The sequence below is a fragment of the Homo sapiens genome, chromosome 10, assembly GCF_000001405.40.
Source record: "Homo sapiens chromosome 10, GRCh38.p14 Primary Assembly".
Taxonomy (NCBI): domain Eukaryota; kingdom Metazoa; phylum Chordata; class Mammalia; order Primates; family Hominidae; genus Homo; species Homo sapiens.
Genome location: NC_000010.11, coordinates 130,933,716 through 130,952,420, shown reverse-complemented (window position 1 = coordinate 130,952,420; position 18,705 = coordinate 130,933,716). Strand labels below are relative to the sequence as shown.

The window sequence follows — 18,705 nt, the reverse complement described above, 5'->3', positions numbered from 1 at the left end:
TTCTAGGGCTGAGAGCCTCAAATTGGCAACTGATCCTATTTGAAATGAGTTTGCCCTTTGGCTCTCCTATGAGGCTGCCTTGGGGGATGTCCCCCTTTCTCCTGGCAGAGGTGGAGACCACACAGCCCTGTCTCAGCCCCTATCCCAGACCATGTGTGTGCCCTGGGCTTGCAGGAATAGAGAAGAGAGCCAGTCGCCGCCCCGTCAGGTTTCTAGTTACAGACACGGAAAGGTAAAAAGATATGTTTTTCAGATGGTCGTGTTGGTGATGTGAATGTAAGTTTTGTTTTACATTTTTACTGCTATGAATCACTGACAAAGTTAAAATAAAATACAAACATTTTTTATTTAAAAATATGGTGAGCTCTTTGAAGAGGTAGCACCCTTTCTAAGGCCTGACCTTCCACATCTAAGTGTCTTCCTTGGGAGTGGACACTGAGGTTTTTTGCTAGTGAGATGAAGACTCTCTTGGGAGGAAGGCCACCTTGTGACTTTTAGGTTATGTTGCAGGGCTGTGTATTGAGCACAGCCCTTGGTGACTAGAGTAGCAGGCAGAGCCGCCTCTGGGTTTTAGCCAGCAAGTGATGGCTTCTGGGACCACTGAGGCACCAGGGTGGGGACCATGGCTTGTGGGTTATGCTTCCATTTCCTTCTCCAACTCCACAGCCTCTGTCCTTGACTGCCTTCAGTTGCAAGCCCAGGGATCCTCACTCTTATCTCCATATGGAGGATGGCAGACAGGTTCTGACTCTGATATGATTCTCCTTCCATTTTGCTGATAAGTCCTCGGGATTATTTAATCGGGTAAAAACTGCAAAGATTGCAAGATACGATTGGCTGAAAAACAGGTGGTATTTCTCTATATCATGGAATCCAGCTTGTCTTGCCCTTGCAAGAACAGTTGAACTGGCGTCACCGCTACTATTTACTTGGGCAGCACTGAGTTGCTAAATACCCTGTAACTGTATGCTGGCCGAAGCTGTCTGAGGTGTAATTTTCTTATCCTGTGCTCACTCTGGTCATCCAACTGCTCCTTCACAGAAAGTTTTCTTTGCTCAGAGTGAGATGGTCTCGGATAAAGGCTCTGTGGCGGCTTTGAAGCCAAGGGTAAGGGCATCTGTCCAGCATGACGCAGGGCAATAGCCCTGGTTGCCATGGTATTTTCTCAACACCTGCATCTCAGCTTTTCTAGATGGTGCAAACAACTGACATTCACAATTTCAGAGTCACAGACACACACGGTTCTATGGGGACAGCAGGTGCTGTTCCCGATGGCAAGGTAGGGCCTTGTCACCCTAATTCTCAACATAGCCACAGTTACCTTGTAGCTATGGTGAGATGGAAGGACCATCTGGTGGGAGCTGGGAACCCTGCACCACTGTCCAGGGCTGGACCTGCTATCACCCAGGGAGGTCCTGTGAGGATTCTGGCCCCCACAGCGAGCATGACAGTGACAGGACCCCATATCTTCGGTGCGGGGGCTCTGCCCTCCCACTAGTGGGTCTTGTTGGAGCAGCACCATCAGTGTCCATGGGGGGGAAATGTTAGAAACGCAGGCTCTCCGGGTTTGTCCTGGACCTATTGAGCTGGAGTGTGCATTTTAACCAGATCCCCAGTAAGCTTGCACACCCCACGCGGTTTGGGACGTGCTGGTGTGGCTGAAAACCCTCGCTGTGCCACAGAATCACTTAGGAAATCAGGTTTTCAATTCTCAAACGTGGTACCCATTGCAGAGGTTTGCTTTGCGTTGTTCAGGGAAGGAGACCTGTCGTTCGATTTTTAAATGTCCCTTTTGTAGCCAGAGGTGAGAACCCCAGGGCTAGATACCCATAGCCGTGTCTATTGCTTGTCAATACCTTCTAATTTCTATACACGTCAATAACCGCGCCCAAACGAAGAACAGTTTGGACCATCAAGGGATGACTCAAAACACTTGGGGAGAAATATTTACATGAACTGTACTGATGGGCTTAAGCCAGGGAGCAGAATTAACTGAGCATTTTGGTATATTTAGGAAACGGCAGCCATTTAATTTCTCAATGTACTGGTGGTAAAATAAAACCAACAAATATGACTCGTCCCCTCCCTGGCTTTCTGTCTTGCAGTGTGGATAAATTTAATGTCACAGTGCTTTCAAGCCCTGATAGAGTTTATAACTATGATAAAATTCTGACATGAAATAAATTTTGATCCAGGTTTGTTTTATTTGGAGGTTGTAACTGATAGTGCCTTAAAGTGCCTGGAATTATGTTACCATAGATTCTGTGGGTGTCTTAGGTTTATAGTGAGCTGCATCACTGCCTAAGAAGGCGGTGTGATACCCCCAGAGGGCAGCTGGAACCACAGGCTCCAGTGAGCCCCAGTCTGGTGTGGGGGCCTGTCCCGGGGACACTGCCCCACCACCAAAGCACCATGTTGCCCCTGGGGGCCGTGTTCTGAGCATGGCTGGGACAGTCAAGAATCAAGGACTTGTCCCTTATAATGTCAAAATAAGACCAACTGGGGGAGGGAGGACGGAGCCTTTTCGTGCCAGGACTCACCGACCTAACTCTACTGTCACTTTTGTGGGCATCTGCTTTCACCCGGCCAGGGTGCAATTACAAGCTCTTGTTCTTCCCAGGGGTCCCCACCACGTCTTCAGTCAGCACCGTTCATGCTCTGATCAGCCCAGGAAGCGGGGGAGGGATACCATCTGGTGCGGGGCAGAGGGAGGCTGGTGCATAGTGGGTCTCAGGAACACTGGGAGAGCAAGGCAAAGCCTAGTGCATAGTCTTGTCAGGTGGAATGGCCTAGGCAGGGGAGGGGACAAAGCCAGGGAGGCACTTTAACTTTGAATTGGGAGGAGGTGAGTCCCACGCTAAAAGGCTCTGGGGCGACAAGAGGCTCCCAGCACAGCCGGCCTGGGGCTTGGGCCTGGGCTCTTCTCTCTCTGGGTGGTCATGCTACCTCTGTCCTGCACTTCCAGCCAGGCAGTCTCAGGTCCATGGGTGTCAGTTTTTGTCTGGAGAAATTCCAGGGATTCACAGGCATGAATAGCAATGCAATTCCAGAGGAGCACATGAGGTTCTGTGGGACCCTTCAGACAAAGAGAAGTTACAAACATGGAGGGGGTGATGGAGAGCAGGCTGCTGGCAGAAGGAGGGGTGTCTATACCACCCCACAGGGAGCTCATACGCTTTCTGTGGTTGAGCTGGTTGACCCTGGTGGTTGGTGGCAGGGCAAGACAAGCTTACATTTTTGCTTGAGGATTAGTAGAATTGGTAATGTCTGAAAATTGATATTCGTTTCACCAAAATATATCATGAACATTCTAGAAAACTAAATGCTTCTAGACAGGGGAAAACTAAGGAGGGAAGAAAGAGAGTGGTTCCATTTCGTAAACTAAGTTCAGTTAGCAATCTCAGGCTCTTCTTAAGCATGTGTCCTGTATTAGTTCATTTTCACACTGATACGAAGAATAGCCTGAGACTGGGTAATTTATAAAGAAAAGAGGTTTAATTGACATACAGTTTTGCATGGCTGGGAGGCCTCAGGAAACTTACAATCATGGCAGAAGGTGAAGGGGAAGCAAAGCACATCTTACATGTTGGCAGGTGAGAGAGAACAAAGTGGGGAAGCACCAGACACCTTTATCAAACAACCAGATCTCATGAGCACTCACTCACTATCATGAGAACAGCATGGGGGGAACCACACCCATAATTCACTCACCTCCCCCAAGGTCCCTCCCTCCACATGTGCAAATTACAATTCAAGATGAGATTTGGGTGGGGACACAGAAAAACCATTTTAGGTCCTGTACCCTCTGCCATGCAGATTGGGTTGATGGAGACGTGTATTTCATCCCACCCCTGAGAGCTCTTGATCTCTTTGGGTGGAAGGCGGCAAGCAGAGCTCATTCTAGAAATCTGGAAGTTCATGGGTCTGAGCCAACATCATCTGTAAATCAGGGTAATGCTAGTACTTACACGGGGAGTTGTGGTGGGGATATCATAAGGTGACATGACCGCTGTCCCAGTCCTTGTGTCTGGCGTGGAGTAAACAGTATCTGTTGTAATCAGCTGATAGGTGGCCTGGACATAGGGGACTTGACTCTTAGCTCTTTCTCTAAAGCATGTATTTAATTCCTATTGCATGTATTGAAGGTGTACAACATGGTGTTTTGATAGACATATACATAGTGAAATGATTACTACAGTAAGCCAAATTAACATATCCATTATCTTCCATAGTTACTTGTGTGTGGGGGTGGTAGGGGTGGGTAAGAGCACCTGAAATCCACCCTCTTAGCAAATTTCCAGGATAGAATACAATGTTATCCACCACAGTCCTCATCTGTACATTAGCCCTCCAGATGGATTCAGCCACATTACCGCAAGATCATACCCTGACCCATTTCTTCCCTTCCCCATTCTTGGTAACTACCACTGTACTCGGTTTCAATGATTTGGACTTTTACAGATTTCACATATAAGAAAGCTCATGCAGTATTTTTCAGGAGGGGTGGACCTGGATAGGAAGCCTTCAGGGATTCCCAACACATGTGTGGCAGGGGAGATCGGAGCCAGTTCTGTCTCCCGGCCCCTGGACCCTGCTGCCTCCTGGGCTCTCACCCCATAAAGTCCCATTCACTCTTTGTCCACAGGGAAAGGTGTTGGATCTCCTCCTCCTCCAGACCCAGCATCCCCCTCATGATGTCCTCACATTTGGTGATTCTTTGGATGCTGGCTGTAAAATTCCACACATTTTAAAAATTAATGATTTTCATCTGACATTTCATTTTGATAAGACTCCTTAAAGTTACTCAAGTCACCTTTCCATAAAATATCTGGCTCCCTTGTAAGAACCACGGACAGATGGTGATCCTCACTTCTTTGCTTGATCTTCTGTGATGGCAAGAATCTCCTTGTTAGCAAGAAATGACTCTGATGTTTGCTAGAAATCTAATCCTCAAATTAGATGGAAGTGTGTCTCTCTTCCCTGCATTGGTCAATTAGCCCTGAAGAATAAGTTGGTGTTTTCCCAGATGGCAGCACTGTACGTATTTGAAGCCAGGTCTTCTAGCTTCCTCGGTCACCTCTTTCGTGAGCTACACATCCATGGTCCTTTCAGTGGTTCTTCAGAGGGAAAAGTTATGGTCATCCCGGGAACCGATGCCTGACTAGCTTGGCTCAGAGGTGGCTCCCGTGCCCTGCTGGGGATCAGAGTTTTAATGGCTGTTTCCTCAAAGAAGACAAATTCCATTTGATTTGACTTGTACTTAGTGACCTGATTTTATCCCTTTTTGTGAGGAGTTATGACTCATGCTTTTAAGGAATTCATTGTTCAATCATGCTCAGCATCAGTGTTGGCCTTGCACCTCTGACTGGTTGGCAGCGCCAGCCTTCCCCGTCAACATTGCAGCGCGTGCTGTTATGAGAGTTTCAGCATCTTCTGTTTGGCATCTTGTCAAGAGTCTCTAACAACAGCAAAGAGGGTTTTCTCCCTCTCTCTAAGGATGTGAACCCGCTAAGGCTGGAGCTTGTTAGGAAGAGCTACAGCCTCCTGGTCATCCCATTCCTCATCTTGGGCTTCTAGATCTTAATCTGGTTGTTTGTAACTCTTCATTCAATACAGTGATGGAGGGAAAGACATAGATTCTCAGGTCAGGGCCACCAGGTTCCACATCTCAGCTTGAACCTCTCTGAGCCTTGGTGTCTCCCTTTATAAAGTGACATGGTGGGGTCCACCGTGGTGTTTGGTGAACTTCACAGGCACTGACCTGGAGATGTGTTCTGGCCTCTGCACATAGGCGAGTATCTGGGGATGGCGTTTCACGGGTAGGATAGTGGGCTGTTAGCCATGCCCCTGCGCCACCTGCTCCCTCGACCTTCCTCCATTCTCCACCTTCTGAAATCCTATTTGTGCCTCTAAGTCCAGCGCAGGTACAACCTCTTCCAGGAAACCGTATGCTGTTCTCATACCCAGAATGATGCCTAGCAGGCATATACCTGTGTCTGCACACACTCAGCCATGATGGACCCCTTAGGACATGAAGCAGAAACTTGTGGCAGTTTGTTTTTTCAGCTTTTACTTTGTTCTGTTACACCCCTCACTAGAATGAAGGGCAAAGGCCAGCTTTTATCTTCTCTCGCCAGCCCAGCACCAATCAGAGTGCCTGGGGCCTGGAAAAAAAATAGATTGAGGAATGAGAAGAAAGAAGCAAAATGTGCAAGCCTCATTGCTCCACTGAGGTGACAGAAGCATGGCAAGGACCAGGGCATAGACCATGTGCAAGCTCTCTCTGCTCCAGGGTGGCACATCACATCATGTTCGTAACTATCTGCCGTGAACTGGCTTCATTAAGGGCAAACTGGCATTTGTTCATGCCAGCCCCTTCCCTGTAGGTGTAAAGTAAGATAAAGTTATTTTAAAATATAACGTAGTGTAGAAACAAAAGCCATGCAGTTACAGGTACAAAGTAAACATGTGTTTGCTCATTGGTAAGCCTGGGAGAGCAGCTCACCCTCTGTCTCTTGTATTTTTCCATAAATCAGGGTAACTGTGCTACACACGCAGTTGCATACATCAGTTCTGGGATTTCTCATAAATCCCATTTTGGTATCAGAGGGAATTTATGAAAGCCTCTTTGACTGAAAAGCATCAGTAGTAGGAGAATGTTTTCACTGAAATGTCCCGACAAAACCACAGTATCAGCAGGGAATACTCCCAACCCCACCCCCACCCCTCCAGGGAGGAAATCCAAGCAAGTTCAACTCCAAATCCAATGAAGACAACCTGGTGCCAGACTCCGCACCCAGATCAGTGCTGCTTTCTTTTACTGTCATCAGCCCTGGAACCTGGAGGTGAGGACCAGAGCATAACCTCTGTGCTCCCCCTACCCTGGCTTCCTTGAAAACAGGGAGCTGCCCTTTTATGCCGTGCCTCTATGACAGGGCACCTCCAAAACCAAGTCCTCCCTGCAGATGGCCAGGAAGAAGAAGGAGCCATAGGGTTTCCCCCTGAAACTCAGGCTTTTGGTTTTTCCTGGCTGAAAGAAACCTACTTTGCATAATTTCCACTGAGTGTGCAGCTACACTAAGGTCCTGAATTAAGACTATCATTTATTGGATACTGTTTCATATAATATTTTACCAATATCTCTGATATAGATTTCTATTCTCCAAATATCTGGGTGAAGCAAATGACTGCCAAGAATATTTTCACACTCAAAAAAGTCTGTGTTAGTCTCAGCAGAATTCCACACAGCCCAGATCCATGTCCTCTGGCTGTGGAAGGCTTTGAGTTGAGCTGTGGGTGCCGTGCTGTCCGATGCAGCATCTCCCATCAGTGAGAGATGTGAGCAAAGAAGAGGAGACAGGCAGAACTCACCTCGTCCATGAATTTACACATTTCTACTGTTCTCACTTTCCATATTTTACTGTACTGACAAAAAAGTACCTGAGGTTCATTGTTAAAAAAAAAAAAAAAGAAGGAAATATGAGAAAATAATCAATTCCCTTGGAGTCTAGTATTCTGGTTTCCCTTGTGCCAGGACATTATTAGTGAGCATTCCTAAACAGGACTGTTGGCTACTGTGGATAGGTTGGGAGGGTTTTGCAACAGCAGAAGCACACAGCCACATAGTCCAGTGATTTCTGCACAGTACAAACAGGCACAAGGGCAAGTCAGAAGATGAAAAGGCCAGAATAGAGGGCTCACACCCAGCGACAGCTATTTTTCTCACTGTCTATTACCCTGGGAGAGAAATTTTTCAAGGTAGTGAAAAGAACAACCTAGAAAAGACATCTTCCTCCTAAGGCCAGGAGATTGTGTGTGATTCAAGGTTGGGTCTTCAACTCTGAGCACAAACCCCCCCTAGCACACGGTAGCTGCTTGTGGGCACAGTGGCTACTGAGTGAGGGTCCTTAGGCATGGGCAGCTCATGAATAAGAGCTGTCCTGGAAGTGGATTCAACACTGGAATCCTGTGCGGGACAAAGGCATAAGGATGGCTCTCACTGAATCCCTCCCCTGACGCTGGCTTCCTGTAAATGGCCAAACAGCACAAACATATGGAAGAATACCATGCTTCCATAAGAAATCCCCTGGGACTTTAGTCAGAGGTAGACAGCCAGAGGGATGGGGAGTCCATGTTGTCAACTGCAGAGACACTTGTGGAAGCTCAACACCACACATGGATTCTGAGGGAAAGGCAATGCTGGCCACTGCCGACCCACCCCACGTGGCTCACAGCATCACATGTGAGGGTGCACTACTGAAAAAAATGTTATAAATCAGTAGAGCAAGCCAATGACACCACAGTTCACAAGGATTGGACCACTGTGAAAAGTCAGGAAACCCCTTTCTCTGAAATGCATTTCCTGCAAGAAACAAAGCAAAAGCCTCGTTTGAGGCCTCATCTCCTCTGGGGACAGCGCTGAGACAGTGAGTGTAGGATGAGCATCCTGCTCAGAGCTCCCGGTGAGCTTAGCTGAGCCCTTCCTTGAGACGTCTGCACATCTCACCTTCTCCCCCGACTCCATGCCTTTCCACAGGGTTTATCCCAGGACCATCTGAGTACCCAGTTCAGGGACATCACCTGTGAGAAGAGCTGTTGCTGCCCTGAGAAGAATGCATTGTAGTAGTAGGACAAAGAGAAGCAGAGGGTCAAAAGGCTCTTGGGGCTAGTCCAGGAAAGAGAGGAAGTGGGCCTGGCCCTGAGTGGTAGTGGTAAAAACACAAAGCTGGAATATACTTTAAAAGTGGAGGAAGGCCAGTGAGGTGGCTCACACCTGTAATCTCAGCACTTTGGGAGGCCAAGGCAGGCAGATGACTTGAGGTCAGGAGTTCAATGCCAGCCAACATGGTGAAACCCCACCTCTAATAAAAATACAAAAATTAGCCGGGTGTCATGACGAGCACCTATAATTCCAGCTATTTGGGAGGCTGGGGCAGGAGAATATCTTGACCCTAGGAGGCAGAGTTTGCAGTGAGCTGAGATTGCATCACTGCACTCCAGCCTGAGCAACAGGGTGAGACTCCATCTCAAAAAAAAAAAAAAAAGGTGCAAACAGGGCTCACCCACTCCAGTAGTCTTCCAGCTGTTCTTAATGCAAAGAAAATTTAATCCAAATCGTAATCTGGGTGAGGGTCTGAGGTTCCACTTGGCTTATTACACCTTTTACCAAATGGGGCTTCTGAGGGCATCCTAGAATATGACCAGGTCTCAGACTGCATGCCCCCAAGGGCTGTGACAATAAGCCCCTGCATCTCCAGACTTTGGCATGAACTAAGGCTTTACAAATGTTCAGAGTCAATCTGTGCCAAACCACACCATGCTTCCCTCAAGGTGACCTCCAGGGCAACGACCACCCTGATTTGAGCTCTGCGTCTCCCTGAAGACCTCTGCCAGCTCCTGAAGTCCAGGGAAGCACCAGGCCAGCCTTGCTTGCTCAGAGTTGGGACCCACAAAAGAGGATTTTTCATGTGTCAATTTCACTCAAATCCTTTCTAGCTGTGATGTTTGAAGAAGCATGGACTATTGAGTACAGAAAAACATGCATAGAGAAAATAAAGTTAGATCTGTCAATTTGTAATTGCAGAACTGAGGTCCGGGGAGCTTCAGCGTGTTTACCAGCATCCCTTGGCTAATTGCTGGTGGAACTTGCATGAGACATCTGTGTCCTGACTTCCGGTCTCCTGCAGCTCTTCCAGATGCCCTGTTCCCCTCGGCTTCCCTCCGGGTGCTCTACAGGCTCTTGTGACCAGAAAAGTAGACGGAATGCAAAGCACCAAACTCCACAGGGTTGGGCGGGGGGGGTTCTTGTTGGAACGTTTTAATTGCTTTCTCTTATAGAATGATTCCATGGGTTACCAGGTAACTGGTTATAGCTGCAGCACCTCTTTCTATTATTCCATAAAATGCAACGATATGTTAAAAGATAATTTACCAGTCTTTCAACATAGATGATCACACTCGATATGTATGTTACTTCATGTATCTGAAGAAGGTGAAAATCTCAAAAATACAGTGAGATTTAAAAAGAGAGCAATGAAAAGCAGAATATGGGGTGGGCGCCCTCAACAGCCTCTCATCCAAGAACAGAGCCCATATTTGCCTCTTTAGTCTAGAGTGTGGGCAGCTGTGGCTCAAGGGCTTGCTGAGATGCAACCTCTCCCATGTGTCTCGATGCTGTGTAGATGTGTGAGTCAGGAACACACGGCATTGTGGGCAAGACCCTGGTGTGCTGGTCACAGGGAGCCGTGCACCGCCCTGTCTATGCCTTGGAGGCTGCAAAAGGATCCCGCAGAGAAGGAGGGTTGAGTGGGAAGCTGGGTAGCTCCACATCCTGACAGCTGAGTTACAACCGTATGGCACCAGAGGAGAAAAACGGCGGCGTATTTCAAGTGACCAGAAGCACTTCCTCTTTTTTTGCAAAAAGGCATACAGAAAATGGCCCCAGGACCAGGCTGGGGCTGCGTTGGCTTCCAGAAGTGGGAAGGGCCAGGAGTTCCATCCTCTCTAAAGTCCACTGGGCACTGAGCTGGGCCTCTCTCCCTCTGCCTCTCTCTTTCTCTTTTACCCTAAACTTTTTTTTAAATAAGCATTTTCAAATCTATGGAAATAAAGATGCCACATTATCACGTACAAAACTTCCATTTTTACTAGGTTCCAATTCTGGAACATTTTCGGTTCCACTAACCCACCCACTCATGAACCAGCCTCTCCTCATTTTGATCATGGAAATTTCAGGTTGATTTTAATATCAGCACAGCTTGTCCTCCTCATTGCTATTTCTCAAGTGTTTCTGAACGTTACTACATGTTGTTTACTTTTTCCATATAAACTTTAAAGTTAGCTTGTGAACAAAAACAAACAAATAAAATCAATAAACAAAAGTTCCTCTCCAAGTACGTGGCTGTGTTTTCAAGTCTACCTTAGCGGCTTTTTTGATTGACGCTTAAATATTTTTCTTTTACAGGTATCATATATTTTTTGTTAACTTTAATCTCAAAAATGTAATGTTCTGCTCCTTGTTATTGATGATAGGGTTTTCTTTCCCATTGCTTATTTTATTCTATTATGTGTTCCATTATTATTTAATATATGAAGGTTTTAAAATGTGTATATTAACTTTATACCCTGCTACGTTAGTGAATTATAATATTGACTTTGTTTACTGATTTTATTATTTTTTCCAAGTATCCTATCCTATCTTCTGAAAATAGAAATGGTTTCATTTTTCTCTAATAATTATGCTTCAAATTTTTCTCCCTTGCTAATTGCATTGGTTGATGCCTCTAATATAACATTAAATAGGACTGGGAATGGTGGATAATCTTGCTTTTTCCTGACCTTAGCAAAGTGCTTCTGGTGCTGCGTATCAGGTTTCCTCTCGTCTTGTGTCTGTGTTGAGGACGTATGTGTCTGTTCACTCATATGCCACTGAATGTATTGTCAGGAATGAATGACATTGCCTTTTGTTAGAGGGCATTTTAATATCTGCAGACATAACCATATAATTTTTATCTTTAGGTTTATTAATATGAGTAATTATAAAAGATTGAGCCATAATTGTGTTATTGGAATAAATCACATATGTTTAAAATATGTTATTGTTTTTTCTTAAAAGAATGTTTTATTCTATTTGCTAATATTTTATGATTTTTTATATTGATATTTGTGATATTGGTCTCTTTCTTGTACTGCCATTTTTAACAGTTATAGTTCTCAATTGTATATTTCCTTCATGCAAATGATTTAGAAGATTTCTTTTATTTTAATATGTTTTCTCCTTTTTATTTGTACTTTTTAAAGAGTTTATAGAATTCTCCCAAGATACTATTTTGGGTCTGGTAATTTTTTTTGTGTATAGTTTCTTCATTGTTTTTTATAGAAATTAGCCTGTTAAATCTTTCCTTCTCCCTTGGGTTCAATTTTGGTATGCTGTATTTTCCTGGAAAATTATCTTTTCCATTCAAGTTTTTCAAATATATTTTCAGAGGGTTATGAAAAGTAGACCTTTGCAATTTTTTAAAGCCTATGTTTCAAAGATTTTTTTCTCCCTTGTAACTTATTATGTTGTATATTTTCACTTTCTCATATTTTAAAATTAGGCTATCTAGTTTGTCTATTCTTTTTTCCCACAACAAACTAATACTTTTTTAAAAAGTAAATTCTACTTTTTTTCCACTTCACTGATTCGTTTCTGTTCTGAGTTTTTGAAATTCTGATTCAATTTTCTTTTTTCAGATCATCAAATACTTGTTTAAGAAGAAGTCATTGAAGTTGGCCACTGTGTCATGGTTTTATTCTGCTGTGTAAGTTTTGACTTGAGGAAATTCACTTTTATGGATATTGTCTGCTCTTTTTCATTCCATTCGAAGTGTCTTGTTTTACTAAAGCAGCACCTGTGGGGCTTATACTAGGCAGAGGTGAGAGGTTTGGGCCTCTCTCCCTGGGTTTCGCAGTCCAAGAGCACCTGCTCCTCTGTGTATAAGGAGGTGTGTCTCCTCTAATCTGTGATACTCTTCTCTTGGGGAGTAAAGGGGCAGGGGTAGTGTCTGGTTCATCTCCCCTTGTTGAAAACATTGTCACTTGTTTGTTTTTCCCTCCACATACCTCATTTTCTCCTTGGTACCCTCAGGTCTCCTGGTCCACCTGCCTCCTCCTCCAGCCTCACCCTCCATCTCCAGCATCCGTGCCTTCCCAAGCCTGAGCTTCTGTCCGGCACACTCCCAAGCCCTGTCTTTGCCTTCCCAAGAGTCGGTGCTTGATCCACCAGACTTCACCCCTGGTCTCAGCATTTTCCCACCCAGTGGAACTTTTATTTCTGGATATGATTTTATCTGCTTTTCACAACCGCAGGCCTCTGCTCCCCTCTCCTCACATTTGTGCCATCAGCCTGCTTTCAAGTGGGTCTGGGGTGACTCTGAAGGACTTGGGTGTTTATTCCATACTTGTGATTTGGTGGAATTCCACGCACCAATGCAATGGTGAATATTAAGTGTCAACTTGATTGGCTTGAAGGATGCAAAATATTGTTCTTGGGTGTGTCTGTGAGGATGTTGCCAGAGGAGATTAACATTTGAGTCTGTGGACTGGGAGAGGCAGACATACCCTCAATCTGGGTGGGCACCATCTAATCAGCTGCCTCTGCGGCTAGGATAAAAGCAGGCAGAGGAACGTGGAAGGACTAGACTGGCTGAGTCTTCTGGCCTCCATCTTTCTCATGTGCTGGATGCTTCCTGCCCTTGATTATCGGACTCTAAGTTCTTTAGCTTTTGGACTCTTGGACCTACACCAGTGGTTTGCCAGGGGCTCTCGGGCCTTCGGCCACAGACTGAAGGCTGCACTGTCGGCTTCCCTGCTTTTGAGGTGTTGGGACTCAGACTGGCTTCCTGGCTCCCCAGCTTGCAGACAGCTTATTGTGGGACTTCACCTTGTGATCGTGTGAGTCAGTACTCCTTAATAAACTTCCTTTCATGCATACATCTATCCTATTAGTCCAGTCCCTCTAGAGACAACTATTACAACCAGTCACCAGCTATGCTCTGGGCAGGGGGCTGGGTGACTTCCTTGGCTTTCGGTGTTGAGCCCTGAAGGATTTGGGAGTGTGTGTGGAGAGGCGAGGTGTAAGCATGTGCTATTGTGATTTTGGAAACAGAATACCGCTTCCTCTTTTTATTTAAAGTTTCTTTTCTACAGAATTTTGTTCATGCTGCCTAGGAACTTGTGTGTGTTACTTTACACTGTAACAGACTTAAAAAAATGCTACACTGTGTAAAAATGTCTTCAATGACTTTTTAATATTTCCTTAGGTGGATTTATTTATTCACTTATTTATTTAACTGTTTCTCTACTACTGAACACCGATAGAACTATTATTTTTCTTCATTTAGAATTATTTTCTTAACCTACATTTCCAATAGTACAATCAATTGGCAAAGTGTTATAAATATTTTAAGATTCTTTGTACAGTTTTCGAATCATTTTCAAATCCACATATCAATTTGAACTCCCCTGTCTATAGCTGAAAACCTGTTTGCGGACGTCTCTCCAGGATTTGACTCTTGTGTGTCCACACTGTGTCAACTTTGCTGCCCACATTTCTAGAATTCCCTTCCCTGCCAGTGCAGGTGAGGGCTGGCCGCAGAGAGCTGTGCGTGAGAATCGGACACCGCAGTGCGGCAGCGCTGTCCTGAGGCACTGGGGCGGCGGAGGGGCCGGGCACTCTGGCCCCTCCATTCACAGTTACTGGCCTGCCATCTCCCTTGCTGACATGGGCAGCACCCAGTCCTGCAGACCCTCTAGGTCCCAACAGGTCTTCTCTTTCAACTTCTCTGACTCTTCAATGATTGGGGCAGCTCTCTAACAAAGGATCAAGCTTCTTCTAAAGGCGGTCGTGTCCTTGGGTCTAGAGACAGTGTGAAAAAAAATGCAAGTTCCGGTCAGTCCTGATGGGGTCTAGCTCATCTTCACTCTCTCCCACTTCAGTCTGACTTTTCTTCTCAGCCTCTGGCATGGAGGATCCTACGAGACTACAGGTCCAAACCAGATGCAGAAGGAACAGGCTTGCACCGGTTTGCACACTCGCAGAAGCTCTATCCTTGATAATGAGCCTCTTATTGTCTATCCCTCCTAGTAGTTCTTCTTCTCTGATGAAGCCCTGGGCATGGTGCCTGCTGCACACATTGATGGTGGGCTTTGGGAAGGGGCTCTAACACCACGAGTCCACGCAGAGCACAGGTGGGAGGGTGCAGGGGTCAGTAGGCAGCTGTGGTCCTGGGAAGCGGTGTGATGGGCAAGGCTGCAGCTGGAATGATCACACCACTCAGTGCCCTTCATTAGGAAACAGGGGTCTCCTTTCAACATCGACAGCCCACTCTTGAGGCCAACTGCTGTGTCTCCCCAGTCTCCACGCCCGCTCCCGTTTCTATAGAGTGCCTCAGATACAGTAGCTGCTCAATTAATACTCACTGACTCTTCCTTTAGGAACTTGGCAGTTAGCCCCTCTGCCTTAACCTCCCCTTCCTCACCCCAGAGTTACTCTGAGGCCTACAGCATCTGCTTTACCTGCTTTGAAATGACTGGAGAACTGTCCACCATAACCTAGGCTCTTTGGGAGTCACGTGAAACACCTAGCCTGTCCTATCCTAATGATAACCGATGTAGTGACAGACAGGGGAGACAGGATGATATACCCTGTGCAGTAACCAAAAACCAAAGTATTTATTGCAAAGTTTTTAAAAGTGTCATTCCTACTTGCAAACGTTGTACTGCAGACATATGTTAACTGACTGTGCCTCCAGCACAAAGAATCAAGTGAACAAAGATATTTTAATTTGAGCTACAGTATGCGTCCTGGTTGACAGTTTTATGACGGGCCTCATAGCTTCCATATGCTGCAGTGATGACTAACTGTTTACCTTCAGAAGCAAAGGAATGCAGGAAGAAAAGGAGCAAAGGAGAAAGGAAGCACATACGCATTTAATACCTATTGTGCGCCAATCACTGGGCTGAGTGATTTTTTATTTCATTTTAGTAAAATTCATAAGACCTGTAGGAGAGGAACACTATGCCATTTTACACACAGAGAAGCCAACTCAGAAAGCGTAAGGCACTCGCTGAATGTGCACAGCTCAAGATTCACAGAGCTTGGGCTTCATCTCTGATCTGTTCAGAGGTAAAGCCATTGTTTATGTTACTTATGTGCAGAAATAACAAGGCCATTCTTGGCAGGTGGACAAGACCAGATAGAAAAGTTACAGCAGAGCTAGCGATGGCATCTCTGTGTTTCCCTCCCCGCCGGGACGTCCTATTATGATTAAGAGAGGGGAGGACTGAGAGGCCTCTCACAGATCTTCAGGCAGGGAATGTAGAAGCAATTGTCTGTCTCCTCTCAACTCTAGGGAGAAGGTATCTGTTTCTCAAGGCAGGGGCTTGAGGAGGGAAGGGAGGACCATGGACAGGACAGCCCAGCACAGCATTGATAGGGCTGCTAAGGGGGCTTTGGATGAGACAGATTTGGCCTTGAGTCCTGATCTGTCACTCACCATGTGACCTCAGACAAGTCACGTGATCACCCTGGGCTTCAGCCTCTGCAAAGTGGAATATTCCCCACTGGGTTCTTCTGAGGGGTGTGGGTTTCACTGGGTGCAGACTATCTGCTAGTGTAGACAGAGGGAATGAATGAAGTCAGCTACCTCCGCTGCAAACCCAGAGGTGTCCTAGTGCACGCCCTGGTAGCACTGAACCCAGTGTCAGCAGAGGCATATGGGGGAGGAAGCAGAGGGTGGTGCTGCAGCCGCTGCAGGATGCTGCCCGCAGGGGTCACCAGTGCTTGCCTGGGCTCTGCCATGCAAGACCCTGCTCTTGAGCACACAGAAGTCGTGGCCCTCCATCCTCAGGCCCCCAGGAGGAGCCCTCCTGATCCGTGCCCCATTGGACGAGTTTCAGGAAAGTATCACTGCCACGACAAACTAATTATTTTTCTTCTTTGTCTAATCCAATATTCTTCTTTTTGTTTATCTTACACAACAAAAAGCTTCAAGATAAAGTCCCTTCCAAATTACCATTGCATTTTTATCACAGAAAGCTGTTTACATCTCTTGTCTCTTGTTTCTTCTTATTTTTAGAATATTATGGGTTCTTATCCTGGGGTCACAGGGTTCAGGAAATTCACAAAACTTTGGACTCAAATGTACAATTCAGTGTGTGTGTGTTTGTGTGTGTGTGTACATGCATGTGTGCATATATTTGAGTGTCTGTTGTATTTTTGGGAAGGGGAGATTCATAGCTTTCATCGGATTTCCAAGAGCAAAGAAACCCTGCTTTAGATGGTCTATAAAAGCATCCTAATTGTATTATTTGGCAGTGCTTGTCCTAACCCTTTATGGATCACTGGGGTATGAGCAGAGAATAAAAGCTTCAATACCAATACAGGGATATTGTATGTTGGTCTTGGTCCTTCCACCACAGGCAGAAGAAGCAAAGGACTTCAGTTTTCTCTGCCTTTCGGCCAAGTTGTCAGATGAAGGAACATGGGTATCCTAAATTGGTGGTTCTCAGAGTGGAATGCCCAGTCGCCAGCATTCTTTCCACCAGGGGATTTGTTTAAAAAGCAATTTCTTGAGCCCCAACCCTGACAGGCTGAATCAGAAACTCTGGGAGTGGGGCCAGTCATTGCTGGTTTATCTGCATCCCCCGCCCCTCCCGGCAACCCTGACATGCTCCTAAGCGCAAGAGCCAGATTTTATTGTGTACAGAAATGACAAGGACACAGCAGGAGGTTGGGGGAAAGGAATGAGGCCACTCCCTGGGCCTCCTGCTATGCACTGGGCTCAGTGCTTATCTGAGTTACCGCATGCCAAGTGACCTCTTTATATTCCTAAAATGTTTGAAACCCATCTGCTGATTTGGCCTGCGGACGGAATTTGTTTTTATAGTTAATATCAATATATTGAAGCTATGTAGCCAGATTAAATGATTTTCATATTTCAATCACATAACAAATGAGGAACCACAACTAGGAGCTGCATCCCCAGAGGGCGGCGCTCCGCATGCAAACAGTGATCTGTTTCACGGGTAAGTATTTGTCAGCCTGCTGAAGAGCTTGCTGCTACAAATCTTAGATCTTGTTTGGCAAGTGCTCTGAAGTGGTTCTGGGCTGGAGAGAATTGTGTCTCCTGGCCAGGGCCTCTGTTTTGGCTTCTTCATGACAGAGACTCTGTCTGAGCAAACTCTACCCAGGATCCTCGGAGCCTTCCTTTAGACCAGGCCTCAGCCTCGGGCCCTGTCCTTGGCTGTCCAGCGCAATTTTAGCAAGAATCAGGTGACATCAGTTTCCTAGGAATCCCCCACTCTCCATATCTGATCAAATTCCTCACCCCTAGCCCATGCCTCCTTAGCAGGAGCCCTGTCAGACCGGTTTAGCAAGAACCCCTTCCCCACTGTCTCCTCTGAGTGGTTTCCATCTGGTGACCACCCACTGCTTCTTGGCCGCACATTCCAGCTGCCCCTGCCATGGTTGGAGTCTAGCCTCTCTCTCTTGCTGGAATCATCCTGTGTAAAGTCTGTCTTTCCCGCCATTCATCAGTGTCTGGCTCTGCCCCTTCTGACATGACAAAGACTCCACCCCTCTTGCTGAACATTTGTTGCACATGATATAAACCTTCAACGTCTGTCCTTAAGCAGGCCAGACTCCAGGGAAGCCATGGCTCCAGGAGGAGTGAAGAAGAGCAGAGTCCCTCCAGGTCGAGGCCCCTTTGTTCAGGAACTGGAGTTTCTTTGGCAGCTGTGTTCCAATGTTCATTCATGCCCTCATGCACCTGGCAGATAGGCTGAGTGTAGTGACAAACATTCTCCAAACCCTAGTAACTCCACGCCATGGAGATTTATTTCCTGCTCAAATCACAGTTTTATGGGTGACAGCCAAGTCATTCAGGGGCCCTCCAGTGGCATTGTCCCCACAGAAACTTTGGATTCCCTGCTTCAGTGTCTGTGTCCTCAGCAGATGAGGACAGAGAGGGGTGTGCTGAGCACTTCTGCATTGAACCACCCAGGGCAGAGGAGAGGACGCACCCTTCCACTGATGCTCCAATGTGGAGAGCCAGTGCCATTGGGGCTGGGGCCCAGCTCTGCTCTCAGGAGGAGAAACAGAAGCACCATTGCTGCTGGTGGAAGCCCTGCACAGTCTCTGTGAGGACAGCCTCAGCACAGAGA

The 18,705-nt window shown here is 46.4% G+C and overlaps 1 annotated feature.

Moving 5' to 3' along the window:
* Positions 17,761–18,055: a silencer, noted in NCBI's record as "tiled region #8952; K562 Repressive non-DNase unmatched - State 23:Low". NCBI's record gives its function as "represses a minimal TATA promoter and a strong SV40 promoter by Sharpr-MPRA in K562 cells {active_cell/tissue: K562}" and the evidence as "EXISTENCE:reporter gene assay evidence [ECO:0000049][PMID:27701403]".